Source organism: Homo sapiens, chromosome 14, assembly GCF_000001405.40.
Source record: "Homo sapiens chromosome 14, GRCh38.p14 Primary Assembly".
Classification (NCBI taxonomy): Eukaryota; Metazoa; Chordata; class Mammalia; order Primates; family Hominidae; genus Homo; species Homo sapiens.
The window spans coordinates 35,467,912-35,484,490 of NC_000014.9; the positions used below are offsets into that span (position 1 = coordinate 35,467,912).

At 37.1% G+C, this 16,579-nt stretch overlaps 2 long non-coding RNA genes and 1 pseudogene across 2 annotated transcripts; 2 read left to right on the forward strand and 1 right to left on the reverse strand.

The window, feature by feature from the left end:
* On the forward strand, positions 336-1,489 carry RPS3AP4 (RPS3A pseudogene 4; annotated as a pseudogene).
* LOC107984681 (uncharacterized) lies at positions 7,097-14,955 on the forward strand. The gene is made up of 2 exons (XR_001750713.2): positions 7,097-7,218; positions 14,549-14,955. It is a non-coding gene; the product is annotated as an uncharacterized LOC107984681 (long non-coding RNA).
* LOC105370450 (uncharacterized) lies at positions 8,011-15,493 on the reverse strand. Its single transcript, XR_943749.3, has 3 exons — positions 14,718-15,493; positions 10,200-10,486; positions 8,011-8,514 (listed from the first exon to the last, which is right to left on the reverse strand). It is a non-coding gene; the product is annotated as an uncharacterized LOC105370450 (long non-coding RNA).
* Positions 15,494-16,579: the final 1,086 nt, after the last annotated feature.

Below are 16,579 nucleotides of genomic sequence, written 5' to 3' on the forward strand. Positions count from 1 at the left end.
AGTGGCCCATGCCTGTAATCCCAACATTTTGGGAAGCTGATGTGGGAGGATCGCTTGAGGCCAGGAGTTTGAGACCAGCCTGGTCAACACAGTGAGACCCTATCTCTACAAAATTTTTTTAAAAAAATTAGCCAGGCAGAGTGGCTTACGCCTGTAGTCCCAGCTACTTGGGAGGCTGAGGCAGTGGGGGTGGGGGGGAGTGGGGCACAGGGGGATCACTTGAGTCCAGGAGTTCGAGACTGCAGTGAGCTATGATGGCACCACTGTACTCCAGCTTGAGTGACAGAGTGAGACCATGTCTCAAAAAACAAACAAACAATCAAAAAACCCAAAACCCCTTTTGGCTCTCTGAGCAGCACCATGGCAGATGGCAAGCACAAGTACCTTAGAAAAGCGGCAAAAAGGGAGCCAAGAAGAAAGTGGTTGATCCATTTTCTAAGAAAGATTGGTACGATGTGAAAGCACTGGCTATGTTCAATATATGAAACATTGGAAAGATGCTGGTCACCAGGACTCAAGGAACCAAAATTGCATCTGATGGCCTCAAGGGTCATGTATTTGAAGTGAGTCTTGCTGATCTGCAGAATGATGAAGGTGCATTTAGAAAATGCAAGCTGATTACTGATGATGTTCAGGCAAAACCTGCCTGACTGACTTCCGTGGCATGGATTTCACCTGTGACAAAATGTGTTCCATGGTCAAAAAATGACAGACCATGATTGAAGCTCATGCTTATGTCAAGACTACTGATGGTTATTTGCTTCAGTTATTCTGTATTGGTTATACTAAAAAATGCAACCAATAGATATTCACCACCAACAGGCTCGCCAGATCTAGGAGACGATGGAAATCATGACCCAAGAGGTGCAGACAAATGACTTGAAAGAAGTGGTCAATAAATTGATTCCAGACAGCATTGCAAAAGACATACAAAACGGTTGCCAATCTATTTATCCTTTCCATGATGTGTTCATTAGAAAAGTAAAAATGCTGGCCAGGTACAGTGGCTCACACCTATAATCCCAGCACTTTGGGAGGCCAAGGCAGGTGGATCACGAGGTCAAATTGAGACCATCCTGGCCAACATGGTGAAACCCCATCTCTACTAAAAATACAAAAATTACCCAGGCATGGTGGCATGCACCTGTAGTCCCAGCTACTTGGGAGGCTGAGGCAGGAGAATCGCTTGAACCCAGGAGGCAGAGGTTGCAATGAGCCGAGATCATGCCACTGCACTCCAGCCTGGCAACAGAGTGAGACTCCGTCTCAAAAAAAAAAAAAAAAAAAAAAAATTAAAAATGCTAAAGAAGTCCAAATTTGAATTGGGAAAACTCACAGAGCTTCATGGTGAAAGTAGTGGTTCTGAGAAAGCTACTGGACATAAGACAGGTGCCAAAGTTGAATGAGCTGATGGATATGAACTCACTGGTCCTAGAATCTGTTTAAAGTTCAGACTTTTAATAGTGGCAAATAAAAAGTTCTATTTGTGGAGAAAAGAAAAATGATTTTATAATGTTTATTATTTTAAAGAGAAAAGTTCTGTAAGTATTACATCATGTTTAAATATAGAATAAGCTGAAAAAAGCAGAAATCTTTGCATATTAATAGAAAAATCTCAGAAGTCTTTATTTATTGGCAAGTCAGCTACTCTAAGGTTGTGAGGGTAACTTACTGACCTGAAAAAACACATTTTAAACCAATGTGAGATGTGGCTAATTGACTAATCAAAGTAGGAAAGACCCAGATGACTTTTTAGAATAATTCAGATCAGAGTGGATATTGACAGGGCAGATGGTGAATGGCATTGAAAGACAATGCCTTAATTTACTTACACTTTGTTTTCTAGTTTCTGTAATTTTAATTAAAGTGAGTAGAAATAAAATTTTGTCTAAGCATTTTTTCTTCCCAATATGTAAGGTGTTGACACATCATATCACTGAGTTGGAAAGATAAAGACAAGGGAAAGGATTAGAATTTGGTGTGAATTAACATATCACAGGGCTCTTGGGTCTGTAAAAGGTGAGGAAACAAACACATGTGTTAATGTAACTCCAACTGCAAAGGAAGGCTGTCAAGGCATGTGGGTTTGCTTGGCCAAAAGCTGTTGATTCCAAAAATGTAATTTCATTTGTTGGATTTTATTGTAATTAACACAGGGAGTTGCACTAGCTCAGAACTCTTATCTTTATTATCTTGGGAGAAGAATTATGAAATGTGTGCACTTACAAAATAGAATTCGTATTTTGCAGAGGGCTATAATGCTAATGGGTCTTGGGAACCTTCTGGGATTATGAATTCAAGTTTACAGTTAGGGTTTCTGCTTTGCAATCTCAAATGTGGTTTACCTGGAACAGTTAGCATTTCATCTTAAATGGTATTTAATAGAACTTGGGAGCTCTTCAGAGCAGGAACTTCAATTTTTGTTGTTGTTGTTACCTATTGCAAAGCACTAAATTCACTGCTAGAGAAAACTAGCAGTTACTTTTATGTGTACATCAAATCGTTCTTTACAATCAGATAGAGATCATCTCTAACATTTAACAAACAATTCAAAAAGGCACAAAGTTTACCACATTAATGTGTGTAGAGGATTCACAACTTTAATAATTAAGCAAAATCTTTGATACTTGTATGAAGAGAAGGTAGACAGGATAAACAACAGGAAAACTAACTTATGGATTTCTTTAAATAGTGGATAGGGACAATTCATTCCCTCAGATATTTGTAATAAAATTTTAGAACCAGAAAATATCTACCTAGGAATACTAACGCTCAAACTTTAGCATGAGATTGATCTGCAGGTCTGAGCTCAGCTAACAACTTGTATACTGTCAAAGCAGAGACTGCCCTTTCAAACCTCTCCTTGGGAAACTAATTAGCAGAATAATAAAAAGGCAAGATCAACTCTTGTCTTCCTTGTTGGGGATATAAAAAAACGGTAGTTCTAATTAGCAATAATTAAAATTTAATTAAGAAGCTCTTTGCAATCCTCCTCCCTGCTTCCTGAACTAGTGCTTGCCAGCTCTTGGTTGTGGAGCTGTTTTTATTCCCGTGGTGCTGAATCATGGCTTAATCACAAAGCCTTAGATCACAGCTTATCCAGCCCTGAGCACTCATCACCACAGCCTTCCAAGAGTAACAAATATATATTCTAGATTTTTTAACCCAAGCGATTACTTTTTTCAGTTTTATAATCATGAATTATGACTTTTTACTTTTAAGCAGCTGATTATAGATGCCATTATAGATGATTATAGATGAATAAAAATTGCTTTTTATTTTTAAACTTATCTTTATATTTGTTCCCCTAGTTCTACCCCTTGTTGCAACAAAAGGATAGGAGACCTCCAAGAATATTAAATATTTGAACCCAAATTTCTACTTCTGTGCTTTAAAGTAAAGCAGGTAATTAGCTTAAGTATAAAAAACTAAAACATTGGTAAAACCCCAGATTTTAAAAATAAAAGTATTTGATTATATAAAAATAAAACAGTACATTGTAGATGAAGGTTAAGGAAAATAAATATAGTACTTGATGATCCTTACAAAGTGTATATGATATTCTAAGTATTAATCTGAGTTTAGGATGTTTCAAATTGTAAAAGGAATCCCACTTAATTGTGCATTTTAATGTGGTTACAATGGTGAATTTCATATCATATGAATTTTATCTCAATAGAAAAAGGAACTCAAACTCTGACTTTGTCCTAGTTTTGGGTATGAGGATTAATCATAGTTTACAAAGAGAAAAAAAAGCCCCAAGATTTGATAGTTCATTATGAGCAAAAGAAAAAGGAAATAATCAAGAACAGAGGGAAATTAGTTTTTTTTAAAAGCCACTGAACTAAGAAATACAACCGTGGTTCTTTAATTATTAAGGGAAGGGCTCTGAATTTGCTCCATTATCTTAATTATGTTTCTGGAGCAAACATTATTTCAATGTGATAAAAGATGACATGACACTAAAGGTAAAGCCTGAGCAGATGTTACATGAGTAACAAGCCAATAGGCCCACATTCTGGTAATTTCTTCCCCACTAGACATGTTCTCATTAATCTGTGATTAATAGGATTCAAGTATAGTAAATGATGATGATCTATTGTCTGTCTTTGTCGAGCACCATGGACGGAGTAATTTGTCAGCTCAGCTTTTGTGTGACTATTTAATAGCAAAGAGGGAGAGAGAAAAGACGCTAATCTTCTAATTGGCATCTATAGAGAAGGTCTAGGAGAATACTGCCTGTATGGAAATAGCCAGTGTAATTCCTATGCCTAAGGAAAGCAAATGCAGACTCTATGTATCTTTTATATAATTAATTGTGCCTTCTATTGAACAGAAGTTGGGGATGAGGATAAAGAAAAAACGGCAATAGAACAGTCTTAAGAGATCATAAGGTAACATTTATTAACTTATAACATTTATTAACTTAGATATGAGGCTTTTTCAACTATAGTGACTTGCCAAAAAAGTGGGCAAAAGAAAAAAAAATAACTTCTTTTGGTTAAAAAATAGTTGCTCAGATGGACCAAAATAACAATGTATAAAATAAAAAGCCAGCATCATCGTCAGTACCACCACTAGCAACACAGAATGCCCTGATGTTATGATGGTAAAAAATTTAATACATCAATAAATCAATAAATAAATTCAAAACAGATGTTTTCAATGAAAATAATTTGATGATTAGTCCTGTCAAGTCTACCATAAAAACTTCGTCAAATGGCTATACCTTGGTGAGAATGATGTGTGAAATTGCTCTTTCCCTTTTTCTCCCTCTCCCTTTGTATCTTTAAAAATTTTTGGCCGTGCATGGTGGCTCACACCTGCAATCCCAACACTTTGGGAAGCCGAGGCAGGTAGACTGCTTGAGCTCAGGAATTCAAGAGCAGCCTGGGCAACATGGTGAAACCCCTCTCTACAAAAATTTCAAAAAATTAGCCAGGTGTTGTTGTGGTGTGCACCTGTAGTCCCAGCTACCCAAGAGGCTGAGGTGGGAGGATCACTTGAGCCTGGGGGATTGAGGCTGCAGTGAGCTGTGATCATGCCACAGGGCTCCAGTCTGGGCGACAAAAACAAACAAAAAACAAAAAACCCGTCTCAAAAAATTTTTTTCTTCTGCACTCTTTTCTATATTTTAGGTTCTAGGTAGTTTACTGGTTGGTGGAAATGAAAAGGACAAGGTCTCACTGGGAGAAAATATTTGCAATGTATACAACCAACAAATAATTAGTATATGCACAGTATATAGAGAAAGACTACTGATCAACCTTAGAGAGAAATTGGTGAAGAATAAAAACAGGCAGTTGACAGAAGAGGAAATCCAATAGGGTCCATGAACATATGAATAGATGTTCAATATAACTAATAATCAGGACAATTTAAGTCAAAAGAATAAGATGTCATCCTCGCCCATCGGATTAGCCAAAATTTAAAAAATGGACTAGATCACATGGGGACTTAAATATGAGTGGGAGTAAAAATCAGACAACCATTTTAGAATGCAATTTGTCAATATCAAGTAATTCATTTTCAATTTATCAGTATGTATAGCAATTCTACTTCTTCAACAATATCCCAAAGAAACCCTTGCACATGTGCACAGAGATATCTAGAAGAATATTCATTACAGCATTGTTTATAATAGTGAAAAATGAAAACTACCTACATATTCACCAGGGATGTGTTCATACTATAGAATGCTATATAGCAGTTTGAATGAATACATGAATGATTATTACCAACATGGATAAGCCTTAAAGCTCAGAGTAAGTTAAGAAAATTTAGCAAATTTAAGAATATTCAGGGTATGCCACTACTAAAATAGTTTTAAAGCATATGCAAAACAATAAAATGCATATATATTAATATATGGATACATACATATGTGATAAGACTGTAAAAACATGCATGGGAATGACATAACACCAAATCCTGGATAGTAGTGATTATCTCTGAGAAGGGAAGGAAGAAAATGAATTTGGAAGGTTTCAACAGTATTTCTAGTGTTTCATTTTTAAAAAATGCAATAAATGTAACAAAATGTTAAGATTTGGTAATGCTGGATGATAAGTCTTTGTTACATTATTCTCTATGTTTTTATTTTTTATTCTCTATTTTTGAGAATATTTTGAAATAGTTCATAGTTTCAAAAGTGGAAAAATGCACAAGGTAAGGAAAAAACATATGGTTTCTAATTTCCAGGTGCTACTATTGTGTCAGGTGAATAGACAATTCACAAATAGCTGTAATGTAGTTTGATAAGTGTTTCAATGTGGCCACAAAGTGCTATATGTAGATATAGATTCACACACACACACTCTTTAAGATATATATATGTGTGCTGTTAAGACATATGACCAAATTCTTTTGGTATCAAGTAGTTGAACCAAAAAATATAATTGACTTTTAAATGTCTTTTCAAATTCAGACAGAAAAAATGTGGTGGTAGCGGCAGTAGTAGCAGTAGTGTAGTAGTTTCTTCTTCTTCTTCTTCTTCTTCTTTCTTCTTCTTCTTCCTCCTCCTCCTCCTTCTTCTTTCTTCTTCCTCCTCCTCCTCATTCTTCTTTCTTCTTCTCCTTCTCCTTCTTCCTCTTCCTCCTCTTCTTCTTCTTCCTCCTCTTCCTCCTTTTCCTCTTCTTCCTCTTCCTTCCTCTTCTTCCTCTTACCTCCTCTTCCCTCCTTCTCCTTCCCCCTCCTCCTCCTCCTTCTTCTTTTGGCAAAAGGGCAAAGATTAGGCTGTAGTTTCTAAGAACAGCATTAAAATCTCTAACTTTATGCCTTTCATGAATTTGAGAAGCTAATTTATTTGGCCTCAAATAGTTAAAAAAAAAAGGTAGTTGGTGGGGTGGGGGTGGAATGGGGTTTTGATAGAGAATCTTTTAAGGTCTTTTCCAGTTTGAAAAATTTAAGATTCTATTTTTTTTCCTGAAACATTAACCCCAATTTATATGAACAAGATTTTCCAAGATTTTTCCCCAAGTTAGTAATAAAAATACATTTATTCATGAAATATTATAGTTGTTATCAAAAGGCAAAGAAAAACTTTTATGAAATTAGAAGCAAACCATTCTTTTTTTTTTTTTCTTTTTTTTTTGAGATGCAGTCTTGCTCCATCACCCAGGCTGAAGTGCAGTGGCAAGATCTTGGCTCACTGAAACCGCCATCTCCCAGGTTCAAGCAATTCTTCTGCCTCAGCCTCCCGAGTAGCTGGGATTACAGGTGCGTACCACCATGCCTGGCTAATTTTTGTATTTTTACTAGAGACAGGGTTTCACCATGTTGGCCAGGCTGGTCTCAAACTCCTGATCTCAGGTGACCCGCCCACCTCACCCTCCCAAAGTGCTGGGATTACAGGCGTGAGCCACTGCACCCAGACTCTTTTTTTTTTGAGATGAAGTTTCGCTCTTGTTGCCCAGGCTGGAGTGCAATGGTGCGATCTTGGCTCACTGCAACCTCTCTCTCCTGGGTTCAAGAGATTCTCCTACCTCAGCCTTCCGAGTAGCTGAGATTACAGGTGCCCGCCACCATGCCTGGCTAATTTTTGCATATTTAGTAGAGATGGGGTTTCACCATGTTGACCAGGCTGGTCTTGAACTTCTGACCTCAGGTGATCCACCCGCCTCAGCCTCCCAAAGTGCTTGGATTACAGGCGTGAGCCACCGTGCCCAGCTTTTTTTATTAAAATTTTTTTTTTTTAGAGACAGAGTTTCACCCTGTCACCTGGGCTGGAGTGCAGTGGGGAGATCATAGCTCACTGTAACCTTTAACTCCTAGGCCCAAGTGATCCTCCTGCCTCAGCCTCCCAAGTAGGACCACTACTCCTGGCTAATTTAAAAAAAAAATTTGTAGAGATAGAGTCTTGCTCTGTTGTCCAGGCTGGTCTTGAACTCCTGACCTCAATTGATCCTCCTGTCTCAGCCTCTCAAAGTGCTGGGCTTATGGGCATGAGCCACTGTGCCAAGCCATTCTTGATGGGAAGCTAAAAGAAACAGCTAATTTGTTGTGATTAGATTTTGAGAAGGAGATCTAGAGATTCAGAGAATATATATATTCTTTATTCAAAGTACATGGAGAGAGCTGGAGAGAGATGCATCAGATTTTAGACTATGAGATCTGCAGATATAAATTTGTATAATTGGGACTTCTGAGATAGGTAGAAATATTTTAGCTTATATGTTACATTTCTGAACCTAACAGGATTCTACATCAAGGATGATTATTTTTAGATCAGGCAATGAGCTGAACTTCTTTGGTCCCACATGCTGAGCTGCAAATATACTCCCTAGTGACTTTTTATCACTTAAGGTATTCTGCAAAGTATTCTCTAATCTTCCTAAAAATACTAATCCTGAGTACAACATGAAGGGACCAGAAAGCAAAAATGTATCTGTTTGTCAACAATGTAATAATTATTGTCTCTGCTCCTTGATAATAATCTGGCTGGTAATAAACCTTTGATGGCCTCTGATCCTGGCCCTTCAGGATGTTGATTTCTGGTTGGAAAAGTTAATTCTCCTGGAGGATAACAAGATAGAAAAAGACAGTCTTCTATTTACATTCCTCTGGCAGCCAGGTTTAAACATTAAGGTATAAAACCTCCCAAATCTCCTCAAACTGTGTTTGTTTTTGTTTGCTACAGCCTAAAAAGGAATCCTTCCTTTTTTCTTTTATTTCAGAAGCCTTTTCCATTTTGGTTGGTATGGATTATAATGTTAAGAAAGTACTGCGGATTATTTGGGTTTAGTTGGAAGAAGAGACTATTTTCCATCTATTTCTTTCTTTAATCTCTTGTTTTTTTGGCTCTTATCCTCACCACTCTACAGAAAATATTCTAAAATTAACTGCTCCTGGCTAAACCTAATAGTCTTTTTTTTCCCCTTGGCACAGTTTTTTTTTCCTTTTTATTTTGAAATAATTATAGATTCATAGGAAGTCATGAAAATTAGTAGAGACAGATCCTGTACACCCCTCCCCCAGTTTCTCCCAATAGTAACATCTTACATAATAAAATCTTATATCATCTTATATAAAGAAATTGAGATTTTACCAGTTTTACATGCATTCATTTGTGCATGTGAGTGTATGTGGTAGTTCTATGCAATTTTATCATATGTGTAGGTTTGTGTTAACACTACCACAGTCAAGAAACAGAACTGTTCTATTGCCACAAAGATCCCTTATGCTACCCCTTTTTACAGTTATACCCACTCCCTTTCCTCTCTACAACCCCAGGAAACCACTAATATGTTCTCCATCTCCATAATTTTATCATTTTGAGAATGTTGAATAAATCGAATAATATAAATAAGTAACCTTTTGAGGCTGGCTTTAGTCTCTCAGCATAATTCTCTTGAGAGCCATCCAAGTTCTTGCATATAATACTAGTTCATTCATTTTGATTGTTGAGTAGTATTTTGTAGTTTGTTTAACCAATCACCATTTGAAAAACATTTGGGTTGTTTCCAGTTTTTGGCTATTATCAGTAAAGCTACTACGAACTTTCATGTACAGGTTTTTGTGTGATGAATAGTCTTTTGAAATCTTGAACTCCTCTCTGCTTTCACCATTATTGCTATTCTGTTCTTATGCAAAACCAAACCCTCATTGTTTGTCAAATATTGTTTCTCTTTACCTCTTATGCTACCTGACCTGCATCAGAGGTTCTACAAGGCTCAGACCTTGGTCCTCAAAGGGAAGCTACTTTTGAGGAAAGGTTATGTACTCTCATAGCTTCAAATGCCATTTTTTGTGCCTTATAGATCTATATCTATAGACAACTAGCTATATGGTACGTCTACTTGTATATCATGCCAGTACCCCACCCTGAGAGCCTTCCTACTCTCACCATTCTCCTAGTTTTCTATGATCATAGTCTTGTAATTGCTTTTGATTCTTCCTTTTCCTTAGCTTTCCACGTTCAATTATTTACCAAACTCTGAGGTCACCTTTTGATGAGCATTCACAAAGGAAACAAATATCTAACATTCTTTGCCCACTAAGAGAGATCTATCCACATATCTCTTCTCCAGACCTCCTTGTCACCAATTTTTCCAGTCATGTTCCTTCTAAGTCACTGATCATCCAGCCAACTATTGGCTGTAGCCCATAAACCATATAGACTGATACTGTTGGCCATTTCTCCTTCTAAGCAAAATGAATAACTAGGTACACTGCTCAAGGTACCTTCTGGGAGGATTTACCTTCACTGCTGTCCTTCAGGGTGTCCCAGAAGGGACTGTCTTGTGTAGTTGTCCACTTGTGGGTTGTATTACATATTGGGCAGGATCATCTATAAATCAGGCCTGAGTTTTCTCTTCCTCAGTAAACTGTAAGGAACTCTCCATAAGGCTGTAGAGAAGGGGTCTTTTACTGCAAAGAACACTCAGCAGAATTCAGGGGTTCAATGCTCCCAGTTTCATCGGGGTCTTCTCACATGTTCCCATTTCAATTATTCATTTTGGAAAAGATGAAAATTACTTGACATAACCTGTTTATCACGGAAAGTGTGAGAAAATTTGTCCTCAGTCACTGTCAACATGAATACAAATTACAACATTTCTGGAGAGATGTATGGCAATATTTATCGTAATCTTAAATTGGAGTAATCTCTGATTCAGTAATACTTTCAGGAATAGTGTCCTAAATTTTCCCAATAATTTATAATAGCAAAATAAAAATGGAAATGTCTCAAATGTCCACCAATAGAAGCTTAGATGGGGGAAAAAAGGTACATCTATACATTGTATACTATCAACAATTAAAAATGGGTAAGTAGATCTCATCTATTGATATGGGAAAATATTTAAAGTGTTGTCTAGTGAAAAATGACGATAGTTTAAAAAGGATAAAGTCTTGTGTGTGCATGTGTATGTGCTTTGAGAGATTCTGAAAGGAGCAGTGGTTTACCCTAGGTGCTGGGAGTTCTAGTACATTATACTTCATTCTTTATATTTTATATATTATATTCATATTTTTCTGTCCTACCAGAATGTATCATTATTAGAATCAGAAAAAAACTATTTTCACTAAAAATTTAATTGCAGCCATCACTAAAGAAAATCTCAGGCTAGGCGTGGTGGCTCATGCCTGTAATCCCAGCACTTTGGGAGGCCAAGGCAGGTGGATCACTGGAGCCCAGGAGTTCAGGCCCAGCCTGGACAACATAGTGAGACTCTGCCTCTACAAAAAATAAAAAAATTAGCTTGGCATGGTGGCATATGCCTGTGGTCCTGGCTACTCAGGAGGCTGAGGTGGTAGGATCACTTGAGCCTGGGAGATCAGTGCTACAGTGAGCCGTGAGTGCACCACTGCACTCCAGCCTGGGCAATACAGTGAGAGCCTGTTTCTCACACACAAAGATAAAATCTCAAAGATTATTCACAGTATACTCCTTAATATACAATGCAGACGCAAGATAACAGTTAATGCCATCTTTTGGTCACCTAAATAGTGACTAAACGAATTTTGTACGTGTTCGAACATTTCTTCCTGTGTTACTATAATTACATGCCCATATAATATAGAATGTCTTACCCTGCAGTACCCCACTGAAGAGTTTTATTACCATGAAGTGACATGATGTAATATAGTAGTCAGTTCTAGGTCTCTCTGGCTGGGAAATCTTAGGCAAGTTACTTGGCCTCTCTGAATCTCAGCTTCCTCATTTGTAAAAACAGTATCTGTACTACCCAATTCACAGAGTTGTAAGGATCAAATGAGATGTATGTGACAACATTGTCTAAACTCTAAAATGCAGGTGCAGTTCTATTATTCGCATCATGTTTATTAAAATAAGTAAAACTACCATTAACAATTAACGCTACAGGGGGATGAAATGTGCTCTAAGATAGGTCCAACATATATAAACAAGCTATGTGGCTGAGATCATCTTTCCTTTGCTACGACTAAACAAATAGCTTTATATAGTATGCCAGGCTGAAATGTTCTAAAGTGCCAGCTCGTTTCTTTTTTAAGAAACCACTAACTAATATACTAGTAAACCGGCAGCTCCTCTAAAAAATAGTGTTACCTTTCTGCAGGAACATCCGATTTTTCTCTTTCTGAAACTTCCAGGCTGGGCATGGTTGGCTCATTTCTGTAATCCGAGCACTTTGAGCCCAGGAGTTTGAGACCAGCCCGGGCAACGTAGTGAGACCCTGTCTCTACAAAAATAAAAACAAAAACAACAACAACAACAAAAAATTCCAGAAGCTCTTTTCCTTTTTTCCATCAATTCCTGCCACTGCTCAAGTGCTCAGGTCCAAAGTGCACCATATCAATATATAGTCGTGCGCTGCACTGCATAATGACGTTTCAGTTAACAATGGGCCACATATACAATGGTGGTCCCATAAGATTATAATGGAGCTGAAAAATTCCTATCTTGTGACATCATCACTATTGTAACATCTAGCACAATGTATTACTCATGTGTTTGCGGTGATGCTGGTGTAAACCAACCTACTGCACTGACAGTAGTATAAAAGTACGGCACATGCAATTATGTATAGTACATAATATCTGATAATGATAATAAATGACTATGCCACTGGTTTATGTATACCATCTAAGTTTGTGTAAGTACACTCTATGATGTTTGAACAATGACAAAATCACCTAAGGACACATTTCTCAGAATGTATCCCTGTCGTTAAGTGATGTATGACTGTACCAGTGTCACTTTCAAGACAGAATGAGAACTGAAACTTTTGTCTTTTTACCCCAGTTGACTTATCTCTAGTTGGTAAAGTTATTACCAGAACCATGAGTTGCATTTTTTTTTTTTTTTAAGACAGAGTCTCACTCTGTCCCCCAGGCTGGAGTGCAGTGGTGTGATCTCGGCTCACTGCAACCTCTGCCTCCTAGGTTCAAGTGATTATCCTGCCTCAGCCTCCCGAGTAGCTGGGATTACAGGCATACACCACCACGCCTGGCAAATGTTTGTTACCATGTTGGCCAGGCTGGTCTTGAACTCTTGACCTCAAGTAATCCACCACCTCAGCCTCCCAAAGTGCTGGGATTACAGGTGTGAGCCACCGCGCCCAGCCGTGATTTGCTTTTTAATGTTATAATTATGTATTTTCATTTGTAAGAACTGCAGATCCAAATGTGAACAAACTGATTTTAAAGTAATTATGGCCATAGCTATGCTTCCTATTACATATCTTTTGCTGAAGTAACCAGGAGGTAGGGCTGATATGGATGATAGTTTAGCCCATGTGGATGAAATATTAAATGCCTTTATAGGAGCTGGTTTAAGATTCTGAGTTTTACATAAGAATAAGTGAGGCTGTACAGAATGTAATCTTGTTTCAGAAATAGCATCTTGTGAAATTACTGTTATTAGATATTGTTATTAGATATTCAACAGTGTCAGTCTCATTTGAATTGGGATAAGGCAAGAGCATAGGGATAAGGTAAGGTCAGATAATTGCTTTTCTGGTACTAAAGTCATATTCTAAATCAATAATTATAGTTTGCCTTTCAGTGAACTAAGGCTTCGGATTACAAGTTGATTTTTCTTTTGTGGGGATGAGGAAGATAGGTACTATCACATTTAAAATGATATCAAGCCTAGAACTTTGGAGAAAGTGAAATGGGGAGAATAATCTTTAAATCTAGAATGAGAATCAAATTTTAGACTCTGACATTCTTTCTACTGAAAATTATAGAATCACATTTTGATAGTTTGAACCAAATAAAACACAAAAGCAATTGCTAACTGTTGATAGGTAAAGGAAAAGAATGTGATTCAATCCACTAGGAAGATTTTGATCCAAAAATGAAACAGTTTTTTTCTCCCCTGCTAGTCAGGCAGAAATCTAATTACTCTTGTTTGATCTACTATGGAGAGGTAAATGTGAGAGGTATAGATTATGGACAGTTTTATGGATTTTAATCTTAGAAATCAACAAGTGAAGGTTTTACACTTGCACATAGTTACTTAACTGGTGTTAAGAATAAAACCTAATCAATAATTTTTGTTTTACTGTGATTTGCTCTAGTTCCAATTATGATGTTGGCTATTTCATAGTCCCTTTGTTTATATGAATGCTTTAAAGATAATCTCTCTCTAGTTGAGTTTAACGTGGGACTAGTTTTCATTTCATACAATGTCTCAGAAACAAAACCAGAATAAAGGAAACTTAATAAAGACAAGTTCTAGGAAAATTGGGAACATAAAGAGAGATGAACTGAAATGAGTCTCTTTTCCTTTAAGTTGTGTCAATCCTCATTACTGTTTTGAATAGTTCAATCCAACAAAGCATGAGAATGAGATGGACCATATGTACATGACAGGTGTAAGGTGGAATACTCTTGCTTTCCTTTGCAAAATGGTGCAGTGAGAAGACCTAGGTTCTGGACCTGGATCTGGTCCTTAGGAGCTGAATGACCCGGTATTGAAAGCCTGATATAACAAAGGGCTGAGATAGCATTCACTGATCCCTCATTCTAGGCGTGGTGCTAAGTACTTTATACATATGCTTCCTTTTCATCATCAAAACAATTCTGTTAAGTAAATGGTATTATCCTTTTTTTTTTTTAACAGATAGTAGGACTGAACTTCTGAGAGGTTAAGCGACATGGCACAGATTACACAGAAGAGAAAGATTTTGAAGATCAGATGAAGTAGTTACCTTGGAATACTGCAGAAGAAGGTATCCAAAGGTTTAGGGGTATTGGAATGTTAGAGTTATGATGTAAACCTGCTCACTCACCCAAGGAGGGTCCAGAGGGTACACCTTTCACCAGGACTGTCAGAAAGAAATTTGCGAGGGCACCTCAGCATCCCCTAAGTACTCTAACTCAAATCATCAAAACAGAGAGTCACAGTTCCTTTGTAAAAGTATTTTAAAAAAGCAATTTGAAAATTGACAAATGCTATAAAAATTTCAACTACTGTTACTATTATTATTTTAGTCCTCAGCAAGGAAAATAAAAATTTGTTCTTTCTGAGTGCTCTTTCCAGACAGGCTTCCACTTATTCTGCATCAGTATAATAACTGCCTCCCAAAAAAGGGCATAATTAGTGTTTGCAGTTATTCCATTGGCCCTATTGCCACAATTGGTAGACACAGTTATTTTTGCCAAGTTGATGACTGGTCCAAGAGGAAAACAAAAGGAAATCAACTTTTCTTACTATTCTGTTAGGACCTAATAAAATCTCAGTGTGTTAAGAAAAGTCATACACTTTATCATATGTGTGGGAATCACTGGGCTCTGATGACTTGCATCATAATAGGTCTCTTGGGAAGGGTCACTCTTTACTGATGACTTCACTGCCTTGTCTCTTTTTATGCACACAAGCAGGGCACACATAACCTATTTGTCAATTTCACAAGCACTCAGCTGTAAACAACAATGATTCTTAGATTATCTTGGTAGTTGGTGTGTCCTGAGAGATAAGACTGTTTTTTTCCCCAGCTGCCTCACTCCTGAATGACCGGCAACTTCTTTAGAAGAGGCTGCTGCCCTTTCCCTTACATAAAGGTTATCAAAATACCCACCATCCAATTCTCTGTTTTCCCTGTGGCCATAACTACTATTAAAACAACCTTCTTATGGGAATATAATACCAAACAGTAGGGAAAAAGAGGCAAAACTTCATTCCCACGTTCTGACTAGGACTATGTGGTTTGTTACATCTTTTCTCAACCAAATGTTACTAATGATACTTTCTAGCCTATTTTGCCTCCCAGGAGTCAAATCATCAAATACAGCATTTTGTTAGTTCTCACGACCCTGATGCATTCTGATCCCCATTTATTTAGTGGTGAAGACTGAGGGAATTCTCAGCAGGCCAATAATAGAAAGCATTAGGAAAAGCTCTGGACTGAGAAATCTGATTACATGCCATTCTACTGTATTTTGCATGTCACAAGTGACCTCTTTTAGTGTCTAAAGTTTCTTTCTCCATAAAAAAAGAATGTACCTTTTTAGGGCTCTAAACAAAATGAGTGAAATATATCTAAAGTTGTATATGTGATCCACATCAGCTCACAATTGTTCTGCTACAATGACATGCCAACAGATTTCCTCCTCCTAAGTTTCTTTTTAAAACTCTGGTTGCTTGGAAGCAGTATGGACATTGACAACGACAGGCCTTAAGAGCTATCTGGTCCCATTTTGAGAGCTGGGTCTTGCTTATTCTTATCCAAAAGACTTGAGAGCAGGGCCTGATGAAGTCTCAAAGTATGGAGCAATCTTATTGATTGAAGCCAGAAGGAGAGGGTCAATCCAAAATTTGGAGGAAGGCCACACAGGCATACCACTACTTTCACAGGATCTTTAAATATGTTGTTAGGTTATTATATAATATTATCTATAAATACAAGATTAAATTATCATTAAAGAAAATATGTTTATCTGAGGCCCCATAACAACTAGCCACGATTTTTTTCTCTAAAATTAAAAATTATTATTATTATTATTATTTTCTTTTTATTATTATTATTATAGTTTAAGTTTTAGGGTACATGTGCACAATGTGCAGGTTAGTTACATATGAAAAATTATTTTCTTATTTGTATTCTGTGTCTCAAAGTAACTATGACTTTTTAAGATAATAATTTTTTATTTC